General features: G+C 43.3%; 1 long non-coding RNA gene across 1 annotated transcript, besides 1 other annotated feature; it reads right to left on the reverse strand.

The window, feature by feature from the left end:
* Positions 9,278-9,815: an enhancer, noted in NCBI's record as "OCT4-NANOG hESC enhancer chr1:116773350-116773887 (GRCh37/hg19 assembly coordinates)". NCBI's record gives its function as "activates a minimal SCP1, AML or CMV promoter by ChIP-STARR-seq in primed H9 embryonic stem cells {active_cell/tissue: H9 hESC(primed)}" and the evidence as "EXISTENCE:reporter gene assay evidence [ECO:0000049][PMID:30033119]".
* LOC105378919 (uncharacterized) lies at positions 19,514-20,627 on the reverse strand. Its single transcript, XR_947727.1, has 3 exons — positions 20,557-20,627; positions 20,318-20,398; positions 19,514-19,686 (listed from the first exon to the last, which is right to left on the reverse strand). It is a non-coding gene; the product is annotated as an uncharacterized LOC105378919 (long non-coding RNA).
* Between the last annotated feature and the right edge of the window lie 3,934 nt (positions 20,628-24,561).

Below are 24,561 nucleotides of genomic sequence, written 5' to 3' on the forward strand. Positions count from 1 at the left end.
CAACTGGACTGCCTGAGGAGCCTCCTTGTTACAGGAGCTACGGAGAAAGACTGGATGATGCCTTGGCCAGGTGTGGTACAAGGAACCGAAGCCTTATGGGGACTTTGGGCTAGGTGATTTTTAGGGCCCTCCCCTCTCAAAGTCTCTGTCCTGAAAGTAGAGGCCCTCACTGGGCAGAAGAAGTCCCCTAACGCCAGCAATGCCTATAGCTCCCATCTCAAGCAGGTGGGAGGTGGGGCTATGAAACCAGTCCACAGCCCTCCAGTAAGGAACAGTCCTTCCTCAGAAGGAACTGTGACACCGTGTGACTCTGGTCACCTGGCTATGGCTGCCTGGACCAAAAAGGCTGGTGGGTTTGGAAGCAAAAACTGAAGAGAAAAGGAGAAAAAAACCAAAACAAAATCCAGAGTAGTTGGGCAAGCAGGACCATGAAGATAGCAGGAGTCCTGATAGGGCAGAAGCTGTAGGGCAGCATAAAGCTACAGGCATTCCCAGAAGCAATGCCAGGGAGGAGGGTTGAAGGGGAGGACGATTTAAAGGGAAGAGGGGAGGAGGGCTGGAAGGGAGGAAGTGAGGAGGGAAGGAGGAGGGGAGGGGAGGAGGGGAAAAAAGAGAGGAGGGGAGGTGGAGCTGGGAAGAGGAGAGAGTCTCCACAATGTTGCGAAATGGAAGAGCCTCTGGGGCCAAGATAATGGAGAGAAAAAATAGACTACTGCTGTCCCAGGTCCCTATGGTTCGGGCTCTTGTACCCTCTTCTGGCACCTGTGAAGCCAAGGTTCCCTGGGTTCCCCTGAGAGTTCAGTTGTTTTTATAGCCAAGCACACCCATGGAATAAGCCCCTTACCTGAAGCTACATGAGTGAGACCTTGTTTTTTGAAATTCAAAGCATTTAAGAGAAGGCCAGAGGAGGAAAGCGGTGACCATTTGGGCCTTGAAAGGAGAGGATGCAGCAGTGCATCTGGTAACCACCAGCACCAAAACTGGTGAATGCAAAGCTCTTCATCAGTGAGAGACTCAACTCCCCTCAGGCCCGTCACCCTCTCCCTGCATCCTACCCTCTGGAAGCCCACAGCTTCTCTCCCATCAGAATAACAAAGAACCCTGGAAGCAGAAAACAGTGCCCTGGTGAGTGAGGACTCCCCAGGTAGACAGAATACTAGATGTTTCAGCCAGAAGGAGTTTGACCACAGAGGAGAATGTTTGGTCACAGAGGCTTCCCTCTGTGAAAGTGAGAGGTATCTGAGGTGAAAGAACAACCTCCAAATCCTCCAATCCATCATGTTCCATTCTCCAAATGCAGACAGCAAGAGCCAGCTGCCCAGGAAGCCTGAGGCTGCAGAAGGACACTGGGGCATCTCTTACCAGGGCCCTTCTCCTTGGCCCAACTTTCTGTCTGTGAGATGACAGCAGTGTCCCTTGGAGTGGCGTGAGTTTTCATGAGAGTATTATTGATGAAGTCTTTTTTGATCCTTACTCTTTAAGGAAGATCCCTCCCTCCCTTGTTACTGCAGTGCAATACTGGACTCACCCTCAGTGCGTGAGTCCTAGTACTGGTGGCCACATCTGCTCCGACTGCACATTGCCCAGGCTGTTATAATGATTATTTTTGAATATCATTATATTTTTAACAGGTCATTTTCCTTGAGGGTCAGGGATCTCTTCTTTTTTCCATATCCTCAATATTCAGCTCAGTGTCTAGCATAGCATGGGGCTCAATGAATGTCTGATAAATGAATGACCTTCAGAGAAAATAACCAAAGTTAAATTCTACAAATTGTTCAGCTGAGCTCTACATTCATCCCAAATGTCTGATTTCTAGACCCCATGCCCAACCATGGTGCATCCAGTTTAAAACATAGTACATATTTGTACATTTAGGTTTTAATATACTGAGTTTCTCTGCTGTTGTCAACTTCTTCATCAAGCTCCAGGCCCCTGGGGACACAGACCACATCACCAAGCTCTCTTATTAAGGCTTCAACGGATATAGTTGGAAGAAGAGTTCCCATCCTCTGAGTTTTGCTAGGATACACATAATTAAAAATGCAGAAAGTAAGACCACCACTAAATCATGACCTACTAAACAGATAATTTTTTTTTTTTTTTTTGAGACACTGGTCTTGAAATCCTGGGCTCAGGAGATCTGTCTGGCTCAGCTGGGATTATAGGCATGAGCCACCATGACCAGCCAAGAGATGGAAAATGTAGACACTAAGGCATGAGCTGTAAGGAAGATGATTCTAAAAGCCTGTGTTTTGTGTTTGTGACACGAGCTAAGTCTTGTTCCACCACTTACTGTTAGTGTCACCGTGGACCAGTTTCTTAAACTCTCTAAGCCTCAGTTTCTTCATTTGTAAAATAGCACACTTAACATATACCAGAATAAGCTCTGAATAAGTTAGCTACTATTTATTTATAAGCAATAGAATCAAAGAGGTTTTAAATGTCACTAAGTTTTGGACTGAGTTTTTCAGAGCCCAGTCAAAGGTGCTTTGTGGGGAGTAGGAGTAAAGGTAGGAGATCAAGCAGACACACCCCTGCTTACCCAGAATCACTCTGCATTCATCTGGTTGATGGAACTTTTATGTAGGTTTTAGGGAAAAGGAAAAGGAAGAGTTAGTCCAAGCTGCAAAACTGGTGCCAGAATCTCCTCTTAAACGTCCTGGTCAAATGGTTGTCCAGTCTTTTCTTGAACACTCAAATTCTCTCAGTGAGGCCCCAAATTAATTTGCTTAGCAATTTTCCTATTCTTTAGAATATGAGAAGCTCAAACAAATAGCTAACCAAGTTTTATTGCCTTGAGGAAATCCTGCCAGACCTACTTTAATGAAAAGAGCATTGTTCAAAATTAATTGAAGTCCAATACTCCTACAGTAGTGCTACAATAGTTACCAAAAACAGTTGTCCTCCATCGGTTATAAATGTCTCCCAGCAATCTTGGCCATGCTGTTAATTTGCTTAGCAAATCCGTTCAGTTATGTTGAGCATAAAGAGAGTTTCAGCCTAGACCCTTGTGCAAATGTCCACAAATTCTGAATCAATTGAGTTAGTGTTGCTATAATGATGTTTTCTACTCTATAGCACTGGTTTTTCAAACCATTTTCATATCTAATGTCTTACTTTAGTCAGTTCCTCAAAGTTGAAATGAGATGAGATCAAATCAAATCAAATTCTATAGGTCAGCACACTCTGGAAACTGCAAGGCTCTGTAAGTGATTGTTGCTAATAGGTTATTAGACCCCAGGTTCCTGGCTCTGACTCACAGCCTGGCCTGTCTTCCGAGGCCATGTGGCCTCTTCACTCCAAAGGGCTGGAGGATGCCTCGAATGTCTTCCAAGACCAAGGAGGGCCCTGAGGCTTGGTGACTGGCAGATGCTGGTGCAGATGGGTGCAGAAGTGAGCAGATGCACCGTGTGTAGTGCTGTCAGGAATGGGTAGCTGAAGAACCCCTCATGCACACCTGAACGCTTGCCCTTTGGTTTGTGGTTGTCACTGCTCTTTGCTTAGCTTGCTGTTGCCACTCCATTTCCATTTCAGAATCATATCTATCTTTTAAGCCAGGCCAAGCAGTTCACATGCCACCTGCTTCAGGAGCCTGCTCTGGTCATCTCAAGGTCAAGTCATCCCTCCCTCTCTGAACATTTTAAGCTCTTTGCCCCACTCCCCTGACCCTGCCTCCACATTGCCTTGTGCTGCGGCTATGGAACAAGGCATTTCTTGCCCATTTGTTTACAAGCAACTTGAGAGCACACACTGTGTTATATGGAGCTGATTGTGGCAGACACGGCTATTGTCCCAAGTACCCAGGCCCCCTTCTTCCTTCCAGTGAGTTTTGGCCAAGCATATGGCTGCCCAGCTAGAGCTGCATTTCTCAGATTCCTCTGCAGCTAGGCATGGCCCTGTGAGGTGTTTGTCAATTGGATGAGAGCAGAAGTGAGGTGAACCTCCACTTCAAATTTTTAACAATGAAGTAGCTTGTCCCCTTTGCCCTTTCCCCTTCCCATGGTCTGGAAAGCAGATGAAGCAGATAAGAACCAGACCCTGGGGATGGCAGAGTCACAAGATAGGAGGCACCTGGGTCCCCAGCAAAGCTCCCTGCTACCTCAAACACTTACGTGAGAAATAAACTACAATTTTCCTTAAACTATTCTTTTTTAGGATCTTTTTATTAAAACTGCTTTGCCTAAGCACTCATCAGCGCAGAAGTGCTCAACTCAATTTTTTGTGTGCAAACAAATAGATGCATGGCCAGGTGTGGTGGCTCACGCCTGTAATCCTAGCACTTTGAGAGACTGAGGTGGGTGGATCACCTGAAGTCAGGGGTTCAAGACCAGCCTGACCAACATGGCAAAACACTGTATCTACTAAAAATACAAAAATTAGCTGGGCAGGGTGATGCATGCCTGTAATCCCAGCTACTTGGGAGGATGAGGCAGGAGAATCGCTTGAACCCGGAAGGTGGAGATTGTAGTGAGCTGAGATTGCACCATTGCACTCCAGCCTGGGTGACAGAGTGAGACTCCATTTCAAAAAATAAAAAATTAAAAAAAAAAACAAATAGATGAATGGATAAAGAAGAGAAAAAAATAAAATGAATGCATGAATGAATACATGAAGTATTGTCAGTTGCAGTTCTGCTTGAAATAACACCTGTCTCATTTTCCTAATGGCGGCTGATTTTCCTGATAGAGAAGGAACCAGGGAAGATTTGGGGGAAGTGAAGAAAGACCTATTTTTAGAGGATGAGTCCCTCAGGGAGTCCAGTGACTGCTTTGCTACTGCTACACTTTTTGTGTGATGTTAGGATACTCCCCAGGGACCTGTCATCAGAAAACCCAGAAGGGAATTTCCTATTCTACCAGGAGTTGACTTGAAGTATCTAGAGCTGGCAGTGCATCAGAGCAAGGATTTGTAACAAAGGACAATAAAGGCCATTCAAATAAGTCTATCTTTCTAATGGCAATATTCTTTAAGAAATTTAGAATGTTTTGTATGTGCAATCTACTACCTCTGTTAAGTGAAGTGGAGAAAAGGAATATGTGCTCCACATTCCTCACAAGGCTGTAGTGAGAATCAAGTGAGATCATGTGTGTGAAAGTGCTCCATTAACTTAAGTACAATAATAGATGGCCAGTGTTATGTCTGCCTGGTAACTTACTTCCATTATTTATCCGTATGATTCTGGTTGGCTGCTAATCACAGTTCCTTCTCCTGGGTCAATATATCAAGAAAGTGACCTAAATCTCTCCAATTATAGTCCCCAATTCCTTGGCCACAGTAATTAGTCCAAAGGGTGAACACGTGATTGACTGGATCACTGAGAGCTCTTCTCGAGGAAGAGCTTTATACCCTCTCTCTTTCTCTTGGGCTATTAGCAGGGATGAAGTGATCCTCAAGCTCTTTGCAGCCATGGGTTTTGAATGGAGGAAGAAGAAATTCAGAGATGGAGATGGATGATTGTGTCTGAGACCAATCAATATTCTGGCATATTGATTTTTTCCTTAGGCTTATTTGAGTTGGATATTTGTCACCTGAGACCAAAATAATCCTAAAAAAAATGCTCTGTACAAGTAATGCATCATTATTTAAAAGACTCATTCAAATGAACTTGGAGAACTTATTTAGAGATTCCAGCTAGGAACAATGCCACTTGAGACTCTTTAACAAAGAATGGCCATCCTTGGTCTGGAAAAGTTATCCTTTTTGACCAACCACATGGCTTCTAAGGGGAGACACACACAGTGATGAAGGTGGAAGAGGAACCCAGCTAGCCAGTGAATCCAGTCTAGCCCATCCTGGAGATCATTGGGATAATAGTTTTGCTTGAATATTTCCAAGGATGGGATCATCACCCTTCACAAAGCAGACCACTCTATTGCTGGACACCTCTGATTCCTGGAAATAGACTCAAATCTGGTCCTTTCAGATTTTTTTTTTTTTTTGGTCTTTGTTTCCCTCTCTGAAAATACACAGGATTTCAACCTGCCACCCCACCCCTACCCACACCCCTTCTATGTAGATGATTCTTCAGATAGATAGATAACATATTTGCCTAAGTCTTTTCTTCTCTGGATTAAAAATCAACTTTGCTCAGGTGATGATGCTATTAAACTCTTCATCAACCTGACACGTCTCTCTCAATACCTGCCAACTAGTCAACATCTCCTTTCAACCATGAAACACAAACCACACTCTCAATTGCAGTTCTGTTCTACCAGGGCAGAGCATTCCAGAGCTATCACCACCCTTCATCTGGAGTCTATACATTCTAGAAATGCAATCTATGTTTATGTCTTTTTAAAAAAAATTCTTTGTAGGCTGGCTGAAGTGGCTCATGCCTGTAATCCCAGCACTTTGGGAGGCCGAGGAGGGTGGATATTTGAGGTCAGGAGTTTGAGACCAGCCTGACCAACATGGTGAAACCCCATCTCTACTAAAAAATACAAAAAGTAGCCGGGTGTGGTGGCACACCCCTGTAATCCCAGCTACTTGGGAGGTGGAGGCAGGAGAATCTCTTGAACCCGGGAGTCAGAAGTTGCAGTGAGCTGAGATTGAGCCACTGCACTCCAACATGAGCGACAGAGTGAAACTCTGTCTCAAAAACAAAACAAAACAAAACAAAAACCAAAAAAACCAAACCCTCTTTTTATACTGTTGACTCTTATTGAGCTTAAATAAACTTAAAGTTATTAATTCTTCTCTCTCATGAGTGCTGTTAACCCATCTTTTACTTTTGTGGCTTGTTTTTTGAAACTAAGTGAAAGAAGTTACATTAATTTTGAGGTATTCATTACAGTCCATCATTTCATGATTTTAACTGAGTATGTTAACAAATATGTTTTCTACATTGCTCGGAGTTGGATTGTTTGCAAAGCAGATAAACTTGCTGCTTTGACTTTATTCAAATCATTGATTAAAATATTGAATAGGATTGGGCCAAGGGCAAGGATCCTCCCTTCAGAAGGCCAGGGTTTTATTACTGGATAAGGGCCTTCATCCACCTATGAATCTACCCATGGATACACTGACTGTCCAGCCCACATTTCTCCATCTGATTTTCATCATGATAAATTTGTCAAACTCCTGAACTGACTTAATTAATGCATTAATTATAACTGTCCCTTAGCATTAGAGAAAACTCTAGACCAATGGGCATGGCACAAGTTCATTTTGTGGGTGGAGTCAGAGGAGCAGCAAAATGGGCCCCACAGAGAGATCAGAGCAGCACAGAGGCCCTGGGTATCTAAGGGTGTGGGAGGTTTTGGAGATGAGGAAGTTAGATGATTTCATTCCTTTCACAGTTTGCCCAGGCAGATCTCATAGGGGATATATATGAGCTTTAGTCAGTGAGTATGCAGTTAACTAGCACTTCATAGCGGTGAGACACTGTGGCATAAGCACAGTACTACAAAGACAGTCCCTCCACTCCCAGGACCAGAATCAACATATCCTCATTACGAGAATTTTAGGCACATCTTAAGACTTTCCTGAAGCCCTAGAGCCCTTAAGCTTGGGCAGGAGAGAAACTGTGCTAAACTTCTCTAAGAGCTGGTGTTGGGCAGGGGGCTCCATAGAGCACGTCTTCTGGGGAAGGTTATACAGGATCTGTAATACTACAAAGGGGGCAAAGCTCTGATGCAGGAGTCAAGGAGCCTAGGGAACACTGGACACATACTCTGTGAGACTTGTTGAGCACAGAGAAGCTGGCTAAGACTTCCCTGGGGACTTTTCACCATGGGAGTTTGAATTTAGGTTTGCGTGTTTATGTGAAATTCTTCACATTGAACATTTGTGAGAAGATAGCATTTCAGAATTGTACCAGTTTTGTAGGACTGTTGGAATAAATTATCCCAATGGGTGACTTAAAACAATAGAACTCAGCTGGGCGCAGTGGCTCACGCCTGTAATCCCAGCATTTTGGGAGGCCGAGGTGAGTGTATCATGAGGTCAGGAGTTTGAGACCAACCTGGTCAGCATGGTGAAACCCCGTCTCTACTAAAAATACAAAAATTAGCCAGGTGTGGTGGCAGGTACCTGTAATCTCAGCTACTTGGGAGGCTGAGGCAGGAGAATAGCTTGAAACTGGAAGGTGGAGGTTGCAGTGAGCCAAGATTGCACCACTGCATTCCAGCCTGGGCAACAAGAGTGAAACTCTGTCAAAAAAAAAAAAAAAGAAAAAGAAAAAGAAAAAAAGACAGTGGAACTTGCCAGGCATGGTGGCTCACACCTGTAATCCCAGCACTTTGGGAAGCCGAGGCGGGTGGATTACCTGAGGTCGGGAGTTTGAGACCAGCCGGACCAACATGGAGAAACCCTGTCTCTACTAAAAATACAAAATTAGCCAGGTGTGGTGGTGCATGCCTGCAATCCCAGCTACTCGGGAGGCTGAGGCAGGAGAATTGCTTGAACTCGGGAGGTGGAGGCTGCAGTGAGCCAAAATTTTGCCATTGCACTCCAGCCTGGGCAACAAGAGTGAAACTCCATCACAAACAAAACAAAAACAATAGAACTCTTGCAGTTCTGCAGTCCAGAAGTCTGAAATCATAGTGTTAGCAGGGCCACACTCCCTTCTGAGGCTCTTGGGAAGAATCTATTCCATGCCTCTCTCCTAGCTTCTAGTGACTGGGGCAATCCTTGGCATTCCTTGGTTGTAGACACATCAATCCCATTTCTGCCTCTGTCTTTACATGGCCTTCTCCTCTTCCGTCTGTCTCAAACATCCCTCTGCCCTGATATTATAAGGACACTGGCCATTGGATGTAGGGCCCACTGAATATCCAGGATGATTTCATCCCAAGAGTCTTAGTTTAATTACGACTGCAAAGATCCTTTTTCCAAACCAGGTAACATTTACAAATTCTAGGGATTGAGACATAGATATGCATACATCTTTTGGGGACCACCATTCAAGAATCCATCTTAATCTTCTACCAAGTCACTCTCTCATGTGGACCTGGAGCAGTGTTTTTGCTGCCAAAAGCAATCAAGAGCTGCAGCTGAAAATGAACAGTGTTATGTATCAGCACCTATGGAGGGAAGCATAGTACAGTGTTTACTGGGACATGGAGAAAGGACACATGTGCGTGCACACACACGCACACACACACACACACGAAACATTTTATTTTAAGCCCACCAAATATCAAGCAGAATCTATTTTCCTTAGATATATCACACCAACTGGAGTGCCTGTAAGTACAACTTGGGTGTGTATATGCATTATGTGTTTAAAATAATCATTTAATTAAGATCCATTGTTATTTTCATTTGTTACTTTTGCTTTTTTTTTTTAATAGTTTGAAGGCTGCTTCTCACTTATCATCAGATCATTGCATTCTTCCCTAGTCTCACTCTTTCACTTGACTCCTTTTGCTCCACCCCAGGTCTTTGATGCTCAGCAAACAGCTGATCAGGGGCCTCTTCTTCCTGTTGTTCACCTGGACTCTCTGGCCACACGTGCCCCATTCCTAATAGCTCCTCCCACCTATTCTAATCATCCCCAAATGGCTGCTGTTGGATGAATTAGCACATGAAGACACCCTGGGAGGAGGGCCAGGGAGCAAGACAGTAAAAATCATTACTGCTAAAGGGCCACTGCTTAAGTAGTAGTTGTGAGCTAAATTCTTTCATTCATCATTCTTTTGGCAGATACTCTCTGAGCACCTGTTATGTGCAAGACACCATTCTGGATCCTAGGAGATGGGGGAATGTAAAGATGATCTCTGCCTCTGAAGCATTTAATGCAATTTTGTAACATCCCATCTTTCAGACTGAGAATTTTGAATCCAAAGTAAAGAAGACAAAGTCATGTCAGTAGAGCGGCCATATGGAACATTGTAAATGTCTTACTGTTTTCGTTCTATATAGGCAGGATTCGCATACATTACCTCATTAAAATTAATGTTGTCACCCTGGTGAGGTGAGTCGCAGCTCACAGTTTTCAGAGGAGGAAACTGAGGCTCAAGTGATAAAGGAGTCTGACCCAGCTTCGCAGTCAGTGAGCAGCAGAGCGGGGGTCCGAGTCCAGGTGGCCTCCATGAAGTCTGCAACTCTTTCCAACTCTGCTGTGAAAGAGGTGGGGCTTGTCTTTGCTCTTTCCCACCTCGACTTCTGAGCCATTGTCAGCGCTCCTCCTTTCTCTTCCTCTACTGGTCCTGAGACCCTGTGTCCCTGGGACTCCTGGCCTCCCCCACCCCAAGACTGCTTGCACTGGCTCCTCTTCAGGGTCGTTGCTTCTCAGTTCTCTAATTTGATAAATTACGCTAATGGCTGAAAATAGGTCAAACACTGCACATTTTCAATCCTATTTTAAGCTTTGGGGAGATCAAGCTTCAATAGAAAATGAATACAAAGACTATTTAATGGACATGCTGGGTGAAGGATAAACTACTTTCCTCATAATACAAACATTTATACAGCATTTATTATCTTGGAGGAAATGAGCTAGGAAATCCATGGGCAGTATGGTGCAATCATGCCCCCCCACCATCCCAATGCTGTGGCACAGAAAGTTTGGCATGGAGAGCCGGTCAGAGCTCTGTTTGAGTCCTTGATGTGAGACACTGGCCAAGTGGCAAGCTCTTGTTGCCACAGGTCTGTAAAATGGAGATGAGAATACCTACTCACGAGGTTCCTGTGGGGATTTGATGAGCTATAAGTAGGCATGCCTGCTAGGTATTAGGAGTTTAATTTTTGAATATGTTAGTTCCTTTCCTTCTCAGAAAGCTAACATTGCAGTTAGGGAGGTAAAGTCACTAACAGGAATTTACTTGAGGTTAACTGCCTTTCCAACAGCCTCACCTTTCTGAACCTTGCAAAAGAACCACACAATCTAGGAAGGTGGTACTTATCGGGAACATAAGTGCTGCTTATTGGGATAGGTGACATGCAAACCACAGGATATAAGCACAGGTGAGAGGACACCAGCTCAGGTGAGAGGGCAGGAGTGAAGGCGAGAGGGCAGGGATACAGGTGAGAAGGTTGGGGTGCAGGTCTATGCCAAGTGGGTAAGGTCAAGCATGTATGGGGTTGGAGGGCAGGAAAGGAGGTGGTGGTGCGTGACAGGGAATGTGCCTCCCTTCCTTGAGTCACTTCTTGTCTTCTTGGCAATCTTTAAAAGCATGTCTTGAATTATCAAAATGATATATGCTTGTAAAAAGAAAAAGTCCAAACACTGCAAAATTGTGTAAGTTCTTTATCAAATTCATGTCCATTGCTTCTCTGATTCTCCCAGTCCCGCTGCCTAGCACTAAGTATTAACTGATGTTGTCCTTCCATACCTTCATCTATGCCAGGTCAAACATTTTTTAAAAAATTTTTAAATCATTGCTTTAATTTTAAAACACTGTTTTACCCTAAGAATTGTTCTGCAACTTGCTCTTTTCATTTTTTGTTTTTTTACTCGAAATCTATCATAGCCAATGTTCCACATCAGTAAGTACAGATGTACCTCATTATTTTTGAAAGTGCTGAATAGTACTACATAGCACAGATAGATATAATTTATTTAATTTGTTCTCAGTAAATTGTCCTCAATTTTTTGCTATTATAAACAATGGGCAATTTCTTCATTAATTCCACAGATGTGAACTGAGTAGTTACTATGTATTAGCCACCAGGCTGTGCCTTAGAGACACAAAAGTGAGTAAAAAGGTCACAGTCCTGTGCCCAAGGATCTCGTGGGCTGGGGAAAGCCTACTTCAGTGCAATAATCACACAGGCCAATGTAAATTGCAACTGTGACTGGGAGGCACACAACTCTCTCGGGGATTAAAATAAGAAGCTGTGACTTTGACAGGAAGTGGAGGAGGGCTTCCATAGGGATGATGGCTGAGGCAGTAGCAGTCACCTAGGTGCAGTAGGGTTATAGCTCTTTCATGCAGAGAACAGCTGCAGAATAGGCCAGCTGTGAAAAGAGCTGGAAAGCACAGGACTAAGGCAGACCAGAGTGGCAGTGGGTGGAGCACAGGGAATCAGTGGGGAGGAGAAGCAGCCTGCAGGGCTAGACCAGCAGGGCCTTGAGTCCACTTATGAGGTTTACCCTCTCTCCTGAGAGCCATGTGATTCCATGAGCGTGTTTAATGCACAGCGTGATGCACAGTGGACCTGTTAGGAGGGACTGCTCTGGTGGGAGATGATGGAGCTTGGCCTATGGTGGTGGCTATGGAGGGGAGAGAAGGGAATTCTTAGAAATATTAAGGAAATAAATGTCATTATTAGGGGTTTGGTGACAGAAGTCATGGGGCCTGTGGCCGGGGGTGAGATATCAGAGTGACTCCTAGATTTCTGGCTTGTGTGATTTGCAGTGAGGATACCACTTACTGAGATAGGCAACATGAACCACAGAGGGGGGTAAAGTGGAGGGGGAAAGGAGAGGGCAGGACACAGCCACCTCCCTTGGGCAACATTTGCCATCACTCTCCTTACTAAATATACCCTGTCATAGTAATTATCTTAATTTAATGTAATTGTTCCCTGTTGGTTCATTTTTCTACTTTTACACTCTTCAGGAGCGGGATCTACACCTTTTAATCTTTAAATCCTCACTGCTGTAAAAAATAACTGAAAGTTGTGTGGCTTAAAACAACAACAGAAATGTACAGTTCTGGAGGCCCGCAGTCCACGATCACAGCGTGGGCAGAGCCACACCTCCTCTGAAGGCTCTCTGGAGAATCCTTCTTGGCCTCTTCCAGTGTTTGGAGGCCCCTGGCATTCCCTGGCCTGGGGCAGCATCACTCCATGTCGTCTCTGTTTTCACATGGGCTTCTCCTCTGTGTCTCTGTCCTCCTTTCTCTTAAAAGGACAACTGGTACTGAATTTAGAGCTCACCCTAAATCCAGAATAATCTCATTTTAGGCTCCTTAACTTAATTACCTCTACTAAGGTCTCTTTTCCAAAGAAGATCACATTCACAGGTTCTGAGGGTTAGGACATGGACATATATTTTGTGGGGTCTCTACTAGACCCACTACACTCAGTAAGCACTGGACGGATGAGAGTCGGTCATACAAAGAACAGGGTACAGTTTAATAACGCTGAAGCAGGGAGCACTGGGCTGGGAAACTAGACAGGAGCAAGATCCTGAATGGCGTGTAAACCCAGCTCTGGAGTTAAGACTGTATTCCCTAGAGTATTTTTTCATAACTCACTTGCTCCAAAAATCACCTGGGAGTTAAGACTGTATCCCCTAGGGTGATGTTTCACAACTCACCAGCTCCAGTAATCATCTGGGGTACCTGCTGTTAAACACTCCGATTCCCAGCCCCTTCACAACCTAGTGAATCAGATTTTTCTCATGGGAGTGGACTGAAAATCTGAATGCCTGACAAGTGCCCCAGATCATTGTAATCTCATTCTTAAAACCTATGGAAGCCTTCTAGGGGAGAGGGTCTGTAAAATGGGACAACGGCTACAACAGTTTCTTAAAAGTTAAACATATACCTGCCATTTAATCCAGCCATTCCACTTTGATGGATTTACCTAAGAGGAAAAAAGGCATATGTGTACACAGAGACTTGTAGTTGAGTGTTCATGGCAGCTTTGTTTGTAATAGTAAAAGACTGAGGGCTGGGTGTGATGGCTCACACCTGTAATCCCAGCACTTTGGGAGGCCAAGGCAGAAGGATTGCTTGAGCCCAGGAGTTTGAGACCAATCTGGGCAACACAGGGAGACCCTATTTCTACAAAAACTAAAATATTAGCCAGGTGTGGTGCACATGCCTGCGGTCCCAACTACTTGGGAGGCTGAGGATCGCTTGAGTCCGGAAATCTGAGGGTGCAGTGAGCTGTGATGGCGCCACTGTACTCCAGCCTGGGCGACAGAATGAGACTTTGTCTCAAAGACAACACAAAACTGAAAAAAACCCAGATGTCCATGAACAGGTGAATGGATAAACAAATTGTGGCAAGTACATACAATGGAATTCTACTGGGCAATATAAAGTAATGAAGCACACTTCAACATAGATGAATCTCAAAATAGCTCTGTTGAGTGAAAGGACACAAATAAAAGAGTATATACTCAATGATTCCATTTGTTTAAAATGCTAGAAAATGCAAACTGCTCTAAAGTGACAGCAGATTCATGATACCTGGGGGCAGGTGGGAAGGGAGTGCTGGGGTGAGGGACTAAAAGGGGCACCAGGAAACTTTTGGGGTGAGGGATATGTGCACTGTCTTGATCATGGTTCTGTTTCACAAGCTTATCCATGTGCCCAGACTTATCAAACTGTATGCTTTAAATATGTTCAGTTTATTGTATATCAATTATACCTCAATAAAACCATTTTTAAAAACTCACTGGAACATAAAAATGCATTACAAATTTAATTTTTTTATTTCAACAGCTTTTGGGGTGCAAGTAGTTTTTGGTTGCATAGATGAATTCTATAGTGGTGAATTCTGAGATTTTAGTGCTCCTGTCACCCAAGTAGTGTACATTGTACCTAATATGTAGTTTTTTTATCCGACACCCCTTCCACCTTCCCACTTCTGGCTCTTCAATGTCCAGTATACCACTCTGTATGCCTGTGCATATTCATAGCTTAGCTTTCACTTATAAGTGAGAACATATAGTGTTTGGCTCTCCATTTCCGAGTTACTTCACTTAGAATAGTGGCCTTCAGCTTCATCCAAGTTGCTGCAAAAAAACATTATTTTGTTCCTTTTTATGGCTGAGTAGTATTCCATGGTGTATATCTACCACATTTTCTTTAGCTACTCATTGGTCTTTATCCACTCATTGGTCGATGGGCACTTAGGTTGGTTCCATGTCTTTGCAACTGTGAACTGGGCTGAAATAAACATACATGTCCATGTGTCTTTTTCCTAGAATGACTTCTTTTCCTTTGGGTAGATACCCAGTAGTGAGATTGCTGGATCAAATAGTAGATCTATTTTTAGTTCTTTAAGGAATCCACTGGAGCATTTTTAATTAAAGTAGAGGCATGATCAGATTTTCAGAGATCTGCCAGTGGTACAAAAATGGGGAAGACACAAAATAGGGGAACCAGTCAGGGGATAATTACATACATAGGTAAGAGAGGTAGTGCTGGTTCATTTATTTTAATTGCTGTATAGCATTCCATTGCAAGACTATACCACAATTTACTTATCTATTCTCCCACTGAAAGATATTTAGTTTATTTCCAACTGTTAAATATTACAAAAATCCCTTAATGATCAGTTTTGTCAGTTTCTCCAAGTACATATATGAGAGTGTCTAGTGAAATACCGACGAATGGGATCGTCAGGTCATGGAGTAGGAGTGCCTTCAAGTTTACTAAATTGCCAAGTTGCTGTCTCCAAAGTCACTGCAAAAACATCTACTCTTGTCAGTATTTTGTGAAAGTTACTATTGTTCTACAATCTCAACACTTGGACATTATCAAAAATTGAAATTTCAATTTTTGATACATGGAAAATTGTATCTCACCGTTGTTCTAATTTTTATTCCCAAGATTGTTGGTGAGGTTGTATATCTCTTCTTATTTCTCTTGGCCAACACAGAGGTTTCCTTCTCTGTGAATTCTGTATATGTCTTTTGCCCCTTTTTCTAGTGGGTCACTTGTCTTATTTCGTTAATTTGTAGTTTGTCTTGAATTTTTGTATTCAAATCCTTTGTCGGCTATATGCTTTGCAAAATTCTTCCCACCTGTGGCTTCTCTTTTTGCTTTGTTTTATGGCACCGTTTATTATATGGTGTACTAGTTTCTTCATGCTACTTTGACAAATTACCACAAACTTAGTGACTAAATCAGAAAATGTATTATCTTCTAGTTCTGGAGGTCAGAAGTCTGACTTGGCTTACACTGGCTTAAAATCAAGATGTGGGCTGGGCTGCATTCCTGCGGGGAATCAATTTCCTTGCTTTTTCAGCTTCTGGGTGCCTACATTTCCCGGCTTGTGGCCTCTCCCTCCATCTTCAAAGCCGGCTACATAGAATCTCTCACTCTGACACTCCTGCTCCTCCTTTTTCAGGATATTGGGCCAAAAGTATTAAATAGTTCACTTTCCTACCAATCTGCTATGACATCTTTATCATATAGCCAGCTTTCATAAATGCATGGGTTTGCTTCTGAGCTCCGTCTTATGTTCTTTTAATTATTTATACCCTTGTTTCTCAAAGTGTGGTCCATGAACCAGCAGCACCAGCATCACCTGGCAGCTTGTTAGGTCTCAAGCCCCACCCCAGACCTTCTTAATAAAGGATCTGTGGTTCACAAGATCTCCACAAGAGTCACAGTTGGAGCATGAAAGTTTGAGAAGCCCTGGTCTACCTGATGCTTTTGAAATCTTAAATAATATAACTTTATATCAAGTATCAATACTTAGTAAGTCAAGTTCCCTCTTCGTTCTTCTTCGTGTAAAATTCATAGTTTAACTCGGGAAGGATTGGAAATCTTATAATAATCTAAGTTCATAAGTTTGTCATATTTCTTCACTTATTTAGGTCTTTTTAAATGGTTTTCAGTAAATTCTGATAATTTTCTTTACAGGGGTCTTGCTTAACTCTTGTTGTGGGTTTTATGCATACGAGCCTTATAGATTTCGTTGCTGTTGAAGATGGTGTTTTTAAAAATTACCTTTTCTAATTGGTGCAGATATATTGGATTACAATGTGTATATTGATCTAGCAACCTGGCAGACAGTTTTTATTAGGGCTAATAGTGTTTCTGTAGACTCTCTTGGCCTTGTCTTTTTTGTAGATAGTAAAATTGCCCGTGAATAATAATAGCTTTGTTCCTTTTTTTCCTGTCTTTTCAACTTTATTATTCTTGTGTTAATCCACTAGATAGGATTTTTCAATATAATGATGAGTAGAAGTAGTGAAGCAGAGATAGTCTTGATCCTAAACTTAAGGGAAAATTATTTTCATATTTTCAACATTAAAAGCAGTAATTTTTTGAGGGATATACTTTATAAGGCTAGAAAAGTATTCTCTTTTCTCGTTTGCCACAATTTTTATAAAATTAGAAATGGATATTAACTTTTATCAAGTGTGTTTTATGTGTCTACTGAATTGCCCAGTATGCATACAAAGTGGGCTGAAAGGGAACCCCTTGCAATGGCAATTATGTTAGACTGGAGAGGCTATGGGGGTTATTTTCATTATTATTCTGTTTGTAATACAGTTACATTGCTTCCATATTTGAAATACTTCCTTCTTCAGGGTACCCAGTTGGAGTGTTTCAGGATCCAAATGAAATATATTTTTCTGTACCGAGAATATCAGCCTATTGAGTGATGTTAAGGAAAGGATATCTACAGGCCAGGTGCAGTGGCTTATGCCTGTGATCCCAGCACTTTCGGAGGCCGAGGTGGGCAGATCACCTGAGGTTGGGAGTTTGAGACCAGCCTGACCAACATGGAGAAACCCCATCTCTACTAAAAATACAAAATTAGCCAGGTGTGGTGGCATATGCCTGTAATCCCAGCTACTTGGGAGGCTAGGGCAGGAGAATCGCTTGAACCTGGGAGGCCAAGATTGTGCCATTGCACTCCAACCTGGGTGACAAGAGCGAAATTCCATCTCGAAAAAACAAAAGGAAAGGATATCTACAAAAATTCAGATCACATAAGCTCTCACATATTTAAAAAGTATTTATTGAACACTAATTATATTCCAGACACTGTGCTAGAAGCAAGGATTAAAAAACTGAGCAAGATCAGGCCCCTTTCTCAGAGAGGGAGCATTGTGAGGTGCTTAAAAGTCCTAGAACCAGAGTAACATTTTACAAGCAGTTGATCTTGCGTAAATTACTTACTTAAGCTCTTTCAGTTTCAATTACCTCATGTGTAAAATGATAATATAAAATAATAATAAAGCATTCTAATGAATTTGGCAGTGATTAAGAGGTCACTAATATTTCTACTTAAACAATAAGGAAAATATATCTTCTCACATACAAAGAAATTGTGATACACCTTGGTTGGTTACTCCAATCATCAATGGACTCAAGGACTCAAATATTTTTTATTTCTTGCTTCTGACATTTTCTTTCTGTCTCCTTATTCCCAGCTAGTTCCCCTCCTGCTTGCAAAAGTATTTACCAAGGTCTCTGCCATCAAGAAACTTTCAAAAAGTGCCTCACCTTCCTCTAACCATTAAACTTCTCTTCATCGTTCACTGACCAGAATTGTATGAAATGTCCATGCTGAACCTAATCAACTCTAAGAGAAATTAGATCACAGTAATTGGCCCCAACCAATTACTGTGATCTAATTTCTCTTAGAGTTGGGAGGTATCTTTCCTTGAGGAAGACCAGTAGACATCCAAACAAAATTAGAGCTCTGACAGCCATGATGAAATGAATGGGCTATGTGGTAAGTGCGGTATTATGACATATATATACTCTGGTTTTCATCCATGGTCCCTGGCTCATAACTCCTAAAGCCCTTGTTGCAGTCTTTTGCTATAATGTTGGAGTGCTTCAGGCCTCAGAAGAAGGCCTCAGAAAACAGACTCTCTCTCTCTCTCTGACTTTCTCCTGCCCTCCTTTCCTCCTTTCATCTTCCCTCACTTTTCTGTCTTGGAGCTGGCCATGAAGAAATTTTCCTGACCTACTTGTCTGATTGTAAACCATAAGATCCTCATTTCAGAAAGGGTCCTGCCCCATGCCCAGAAGGAAGGAATGCTGCACACAGAGGCCAAGAAGAATCTGAACAAACAGGCCTTGCTGGGTTTCCCCACTCAGTCTGTTAGCATGAGACCATACTCTTTTGGTCCAATAGCATTTCTACCTGGTTGTCAATCATGCCTACTCAATGAAGTCTCCATAAAAGACCGAAGAAGACAGGGTTTGGGAAACTTCCAGAAAAATAAATAGGTAGAGGCTTATAGGAAGGTGAACAAGAACTCATGCACGAGCTGAGAGGGGAGTGCACCCCAGCTCCACGGGGACAGATGCTCCTACACTCAGGATCCTTCCAGACTCCACCCTGTGTATCTCTTCATCTGGCTGTTGATTTGTATCCTTTAAAATATCCTTTGTAATAAACCAGTAAATGTGTTTCCCTGAGTTCTATGAGCCACTCTAGCAAATTAATTGAACCCAAAGAGGGGGTTGTGGTAACCCCAACTTGGAGCCAGTTGATGAGTAGTTCTAGAAGCCCAGACTTGTGACTGGTGGGAAGGAGGGGGTGCTCTTGTGGGACTGAGCCCTCAACCTGTGGTTACTGACACTATCTCCAGGTGCATAATGCTAGAATTAAATTGAACTGGAGGACACCCAGATGATGTCTGCTACAGAATTGCTTGCTTTCTTGGTGTGTGGGGAGAAACCCCCATACATTTGGTCACGGAAATCTTCTGTGTTCATTGTCATGGTGTAAGAACAGAGGAAAATATGTTTTTTCTTCAGAGTAGGCACCAACAGAGTAGGGCTTTTAAAAAACTTTAATGAGATAATTTGTGTAAAGTTCTGGAATGGGACACGATGCGTAGTAAGCACTCAACTAAATGTTAGCTACAAATATTTCCCATGCATTTCACAATTAAATTACAAAGCTTAGCAAGTTTTCAAAAATACGTTGTTTTATGGTGTCCACTGATGGATGTTAACAAGGTGACCATGGCAGCATGGAGGAGGAGCCTCTCTGTTATGGAGAGAGGAATGGAAAAAATCAGGAATTGGGGAAGAGTCCATCAGGAGAGGCTTCTCAGTAGGAGATGTTCTTCAGCTGAATCTTGAAAGACAAATTGGAGTGAGCAGGGCATGGGTCTAGGGACTTACCAGTCCTCCTCGCATGTGAAAATGCCTGGGGGCAGGGACTGGCCAGAAGGAGACAGAAAATCTTCAGAGAAGAGTGTGCCTGGAGGGCAGGGGCTTCCTAAAACAGGATATGTCTTAGACCAGTTGATCTTAAGCACATGCTGAAGCATATTTTCTTGCCAGCAAAGAAACCAGCAAGGTGACAAAAGAGTGTGCTGGTCCAGGGGGGGTTACACAATTGGGAAAAAGAATCTATCATAAGTAGCCAGTTTTTCAAGTGAGAAAGATTGTAAGTTCATTTCAGAAGGTCATAATTTCAGGTGCATACTGGTTATACCTCAGGACAGTTGTGGCAGGACAGTCTATGAGGCCAGGTGTGCTGACCATCAGGAAAAAAAAAAGGGGGTGAGTGGAAGACCTGGCATATTTAAGAAGCAAATGATAAGGATTCATTTCTGTCTGCTTTTGGAAGGCCAGGTTGCATGGGATGGGGCCAGCTGACAGATGAGCAGGAGGTAGGGGTGACTGTTAGGACACCCACAGGGCATGAATATGAGGGGAGGGTCAGGGCTGGGCTTCAAGTTCTCACTTGAAACAAGTCATACCTCATGATTTGTTTCATTCAAGCTGCAAAGATGGGAAATGCAGTTCGTCCATGGCTTAATTTTGGATAACCGTTTTTCTCCCTAAAAATGAAAAGCAGGTGGGAATCCTGAAAGAGTCAATCCTTCAAGATGATGCCTCAGTGGCTAACTGAGCCTAAATTCAAAATAGAGCCAAGTGGCCATTTGCTGACTAGAGGTCACATATGTAGTCTGCATTATCAGAAAACTCCCAGACTCACTTAACTTTGGGGCTTTCATAACTGTCTGTCTCCGTTCATGGTCACCCGGATCAACCAACAGACCTGAATTGACCAATCAGAATTCAACAAGTGTTGATCAATCGAACTCAGCAGGCATCAGCCAATCAAAACTAAGCAAGTTTGCATCCTTCTTTTGCATAAGCGAACCAGAATGGGAACCTGGGCAAAAACTTTTTTTATAATAGATAACCCCTCTTTTTTATCTCTTTTAATGCACTTTCGTTTTGTACCAAAGACTTCTTCTCCTTGGTTTACAAACTGTTTCCTGAAATGAAGTCTCGTGATTTTTGTTAAAAAAAAATCTTTTTTAGTGGATTTACAGACACAGGCCATATGTGGTGCCAGGGGGTTGGGAAAAGTAGGGGAGTTGAAATTTATTCTGAAAGTTGAAGGGAACCACTGCTGAGTTGTAAGACTCACTCTCTGAGGTCTAACCCCCTTCTCAGAGGCCTGAAAAATCCTACCATTAATACCCAGAAGCAAGACAAACAACATGCCTGGTGGTGCAATTTCTTTTATTGTGATAAAGCAACTCATCTATACTTTTAAACACCTGTATGAAGGGACCTGATATGTGGAAACTGTTTTTCAATAAGAACCTGCAAACAACTCATCTTAAATATCCAATTTTGTCAAGTCCAAAGCAGAATTTGTGTTTCCCTTCTTCAGGACCTGTGACTGCTGGTTCTTCTCTGATCTCCACCAGTCCAGCCTCCCTCTGAAGGTGGTGGCAACCAGAAAGTACCTGGACTTTGACAGCACCCACTTCTGGTTCAGCTTGCTCTAGGCCAAAAAGGGCAGCTCCTTCTGAACTCTCTCCAAAAAGAGGCATCCTGCCAAGACAGAATGTTCCAACTCTGCTACACCCAGGAGATAAAACAACCAATATGTTTGAAGGAAGCAGCAATCGCGGGAGGGAAAGTAAATAATTTTATATCGGCTTGGTCAGCTGGAAGTTGAGAATGAAGTGAGACTGCCTCCCGCCCTCCCCCGGAGCTGTGAGCCTCCTGTGCACCTTGGCCAACCCTCTGTCCCCACGTCTGCCAGGGCACCTCACATAGCGCCTCATGTTCTGGTGCCCAGTCTGCCTCTCTGAGCTCCCAGAGGGCACCATCCTCTTTCAAAGGCCTTGCAATGGCAGTGACCGGGGACTCGGACAGCAAGGCCTAGGGAAGAACTCTTCCCTCTCATCATTCTTCTCTACCCCTCAAACTCATATCTTTCAAAGCTCAGAGTAGAAGAGAAAGTTCAGAAGAAAGTAAACTGCTGTGGCTAAGAAGTTATGAACATCCTCTCAGGATGTCGTCCACTTCTTTCATCTCATCCTTGAGTGGCACCTGATTTCTTCCAGCAGCTCACACTTGTTTGGGCCTCTGTCCCCGCTGGGTCTGTTTGGCCTGAAATGCTCTGTTGAGACTGTGTGGTGGAAGCTGGAGCAGGTGCTCCTCGCAGGCACCATAGCATCCTGAGTGTATTTCACATGAAGCACTTATCTCTGCAAATATGACAGGCAATCTGTTTCCTCCACCATCCTGTGCCCTTCTCAAGGGCAAGAACTGAGTATTATGCATGTTTGTATTTGGGTGCCTTGCACAGTCCCTGCACGGGGTTGGCCCTCAAAATCAAGCTTCTTAGAGTAAATGAAACATGAGCAGGAGCGAGGCTGACTCCAGTGGCCAGTGTGCCCCCAGCACCCTGCTAGTTCCTTCTGCATGCCTGTGGGGGCTGGGGGCACAGCAGTGACAGGCTGAGGCCAGGCTGAGCAGGTCAGAAGCTTGGCCTTTTCCTTCCCTTCAGCTGCCAAAGAGCAACTAGTTAGACTAGTTCCAATTGCCAATGCCAGGCAAGGCTCTGTGTTCCTCCAATTGTTGGGGTTTTCCTGTTTGGGCCCCTTAAGATGCCACTTGGGAGAGAGAGGGCTCTTCAGCCAGCAGGCTTCTGAACATGACGGACTCTCCAGGCTTCACGGCTCTACTCTGGGTGGTTTATTTATTCGACCTCCTTTAGCAAATTATGCCTCCCATAGGCCTGTGGACTCTCAGCCGAGGCTGATTTCTCTGGGGAAAGAAAACACCTTACAGGAGAAACAGGGAGGAGGTGTTCCCCGAGTGGAAGGACACTTTTGAAAACAGCTATGTTTTATTCTGTCAGGGCAATAAAAGAGTCTTACCTGAAAGGGTCCAGAGGCAAGAAAATAGTAATCCTGAACTCCAGAAAGAAAAATAAAACCTCTAGAGTTTATAGGTCCTCGTCATCTCCCAAGCCAGCTCCAATCCCAAGCAAGGCCAAATGCGGAAATTCTACCTTGTTGCTTCTCTTATTAGTAGCTATCTGCTTTCTGTGAATAGCCACAGAACTCATCTAGGGTATTTTTCCCATCCTTCACTCCTTTCTTTCCAGCTGTCTCTTCCCTCCCTTTCTTCACCACTCCTATCTCCCTTTACTCTTTCTTTATATATATAAATATATTATATATTATATATCTATATTATACATATTATATATAATATACATTTTTATATTATATGTTATATATTTATTATATAATTATATATAAATATATATAAACATAAAAATATAAAAATATAAAATATATATATATATATTTTTTTTTTTTTTTTTGAGATGGAGTCTTGCTGTGTCACCCAGGCTGGAATGCAGTGGTGCGATCTCAGCTCACTGCAACCTCCGCCTCCCAGGTTCAAGCAATTCTCCTGCCTTAGCCTCCTGAGTAGCTGGGATTATAGGTGTGTGCCACCATGCCCATCTAATTTTTGTATTTTTAGTACAGACGGAGTTTCACCATGTTGGTCAGGCTGGTCTTGAATTCCTGACCTTGTGATTCACCCGCCTCAGCCTCCCAAAGTGCTGGGATTACAGGTCTGAGCCACCGTGCCAGGCCTTTCTTTATATTTTATAACCTTCCCTTCTCCGTCTCCGTCTCTCTCCAGAGCCTGCCCGGGCATGCGTGTGTGCGCATGCACACAGACACACACACACACACACACACACACACACAGTTTCCCCATGGCGTGTCCTCGTACCCATTCCCCTCTGTCACTCAACCCTTCCTATCCTGCACCTTCCCCCAGCCCGTCCTCTTTCACCCATGCAAGCCTTGGGTCCTGCCTTCTCACACCCAGTCTGCTAGCTCAGTAAAAACATTTAGCTGAATTCCTGTCCAATTCAACTTACACTTATATCAAAAGTGACTAAGCACCTACTATATAAGGCCCTGGACTGAGGACTGGGGTTACAAAGGGGAATGAGATAGAATTTGTTTGGGAAGATACACAGAAACAAATACTTTGGGTGCAACAGGTAGGTTGTAATGACAGAAATGTCCACAAATCTTGGGTGCCAAGAGTGGGCACTCCTCCTGGGAGTTAAAGGAAGGTTTCAGGGAGAAGGTGATGCCATAAGTAAGGTGCGAAAAAATTCCAAAAAGAGGCAGCAACATAAACAAAGGCACAGAGACAGAAAACTGTGGCTTATTAAAGCAACCACCAGGAAGCAATCCAGAATTGATACGTGGAATGTTACAGAGGAAGAGTCTAATGAAGTACTAGCAGAATGTTCTAGAAGTCCCTTTAAGCCAGGAGAAGGGCTTTAAGCCAGGAGAAGTCCCTTTAAGCCATACAAGATAGGAATGCATGAAGAGTTTCAAGCAGAGAAATTGTGTGATATTACTTGGTTGCAGTGGAAGATAGACCTTCAAGCGGTCAAACCAGAGGCAGGGAACATTGCCGGGATGTTTCCAGTGGTCCGAAATGGGGAGGGCATGGACCAGGCCAGGCAGTAAGGAGGCACAGGTTTGAGACACAGGGTTAAAGAAAAAATAATCACCATTCAGTGGCTCATTGGAGTAGGAAATAAGTGAGACAGAGTCTCAGATGCTTTTGAAGTGTGTAGGCCAAGTCACTGAAGCTCTGGAGAGGGCAGTGGCTTTAGTGGCGATGAAAAGCAGATTTTAGGGGAAGATAA

Source organism: Homo sapiens, chromosome 1 (genome assembly GCF_000001405.40).
Source record: "Homo sapiens chromosome 1, GRCh38.p14 Primary Assembly".
NCBI lineage: Eukaryota > Metazoa > Chordata > Mammalia > Primates > Hominidae > Homo > Homo sapiens.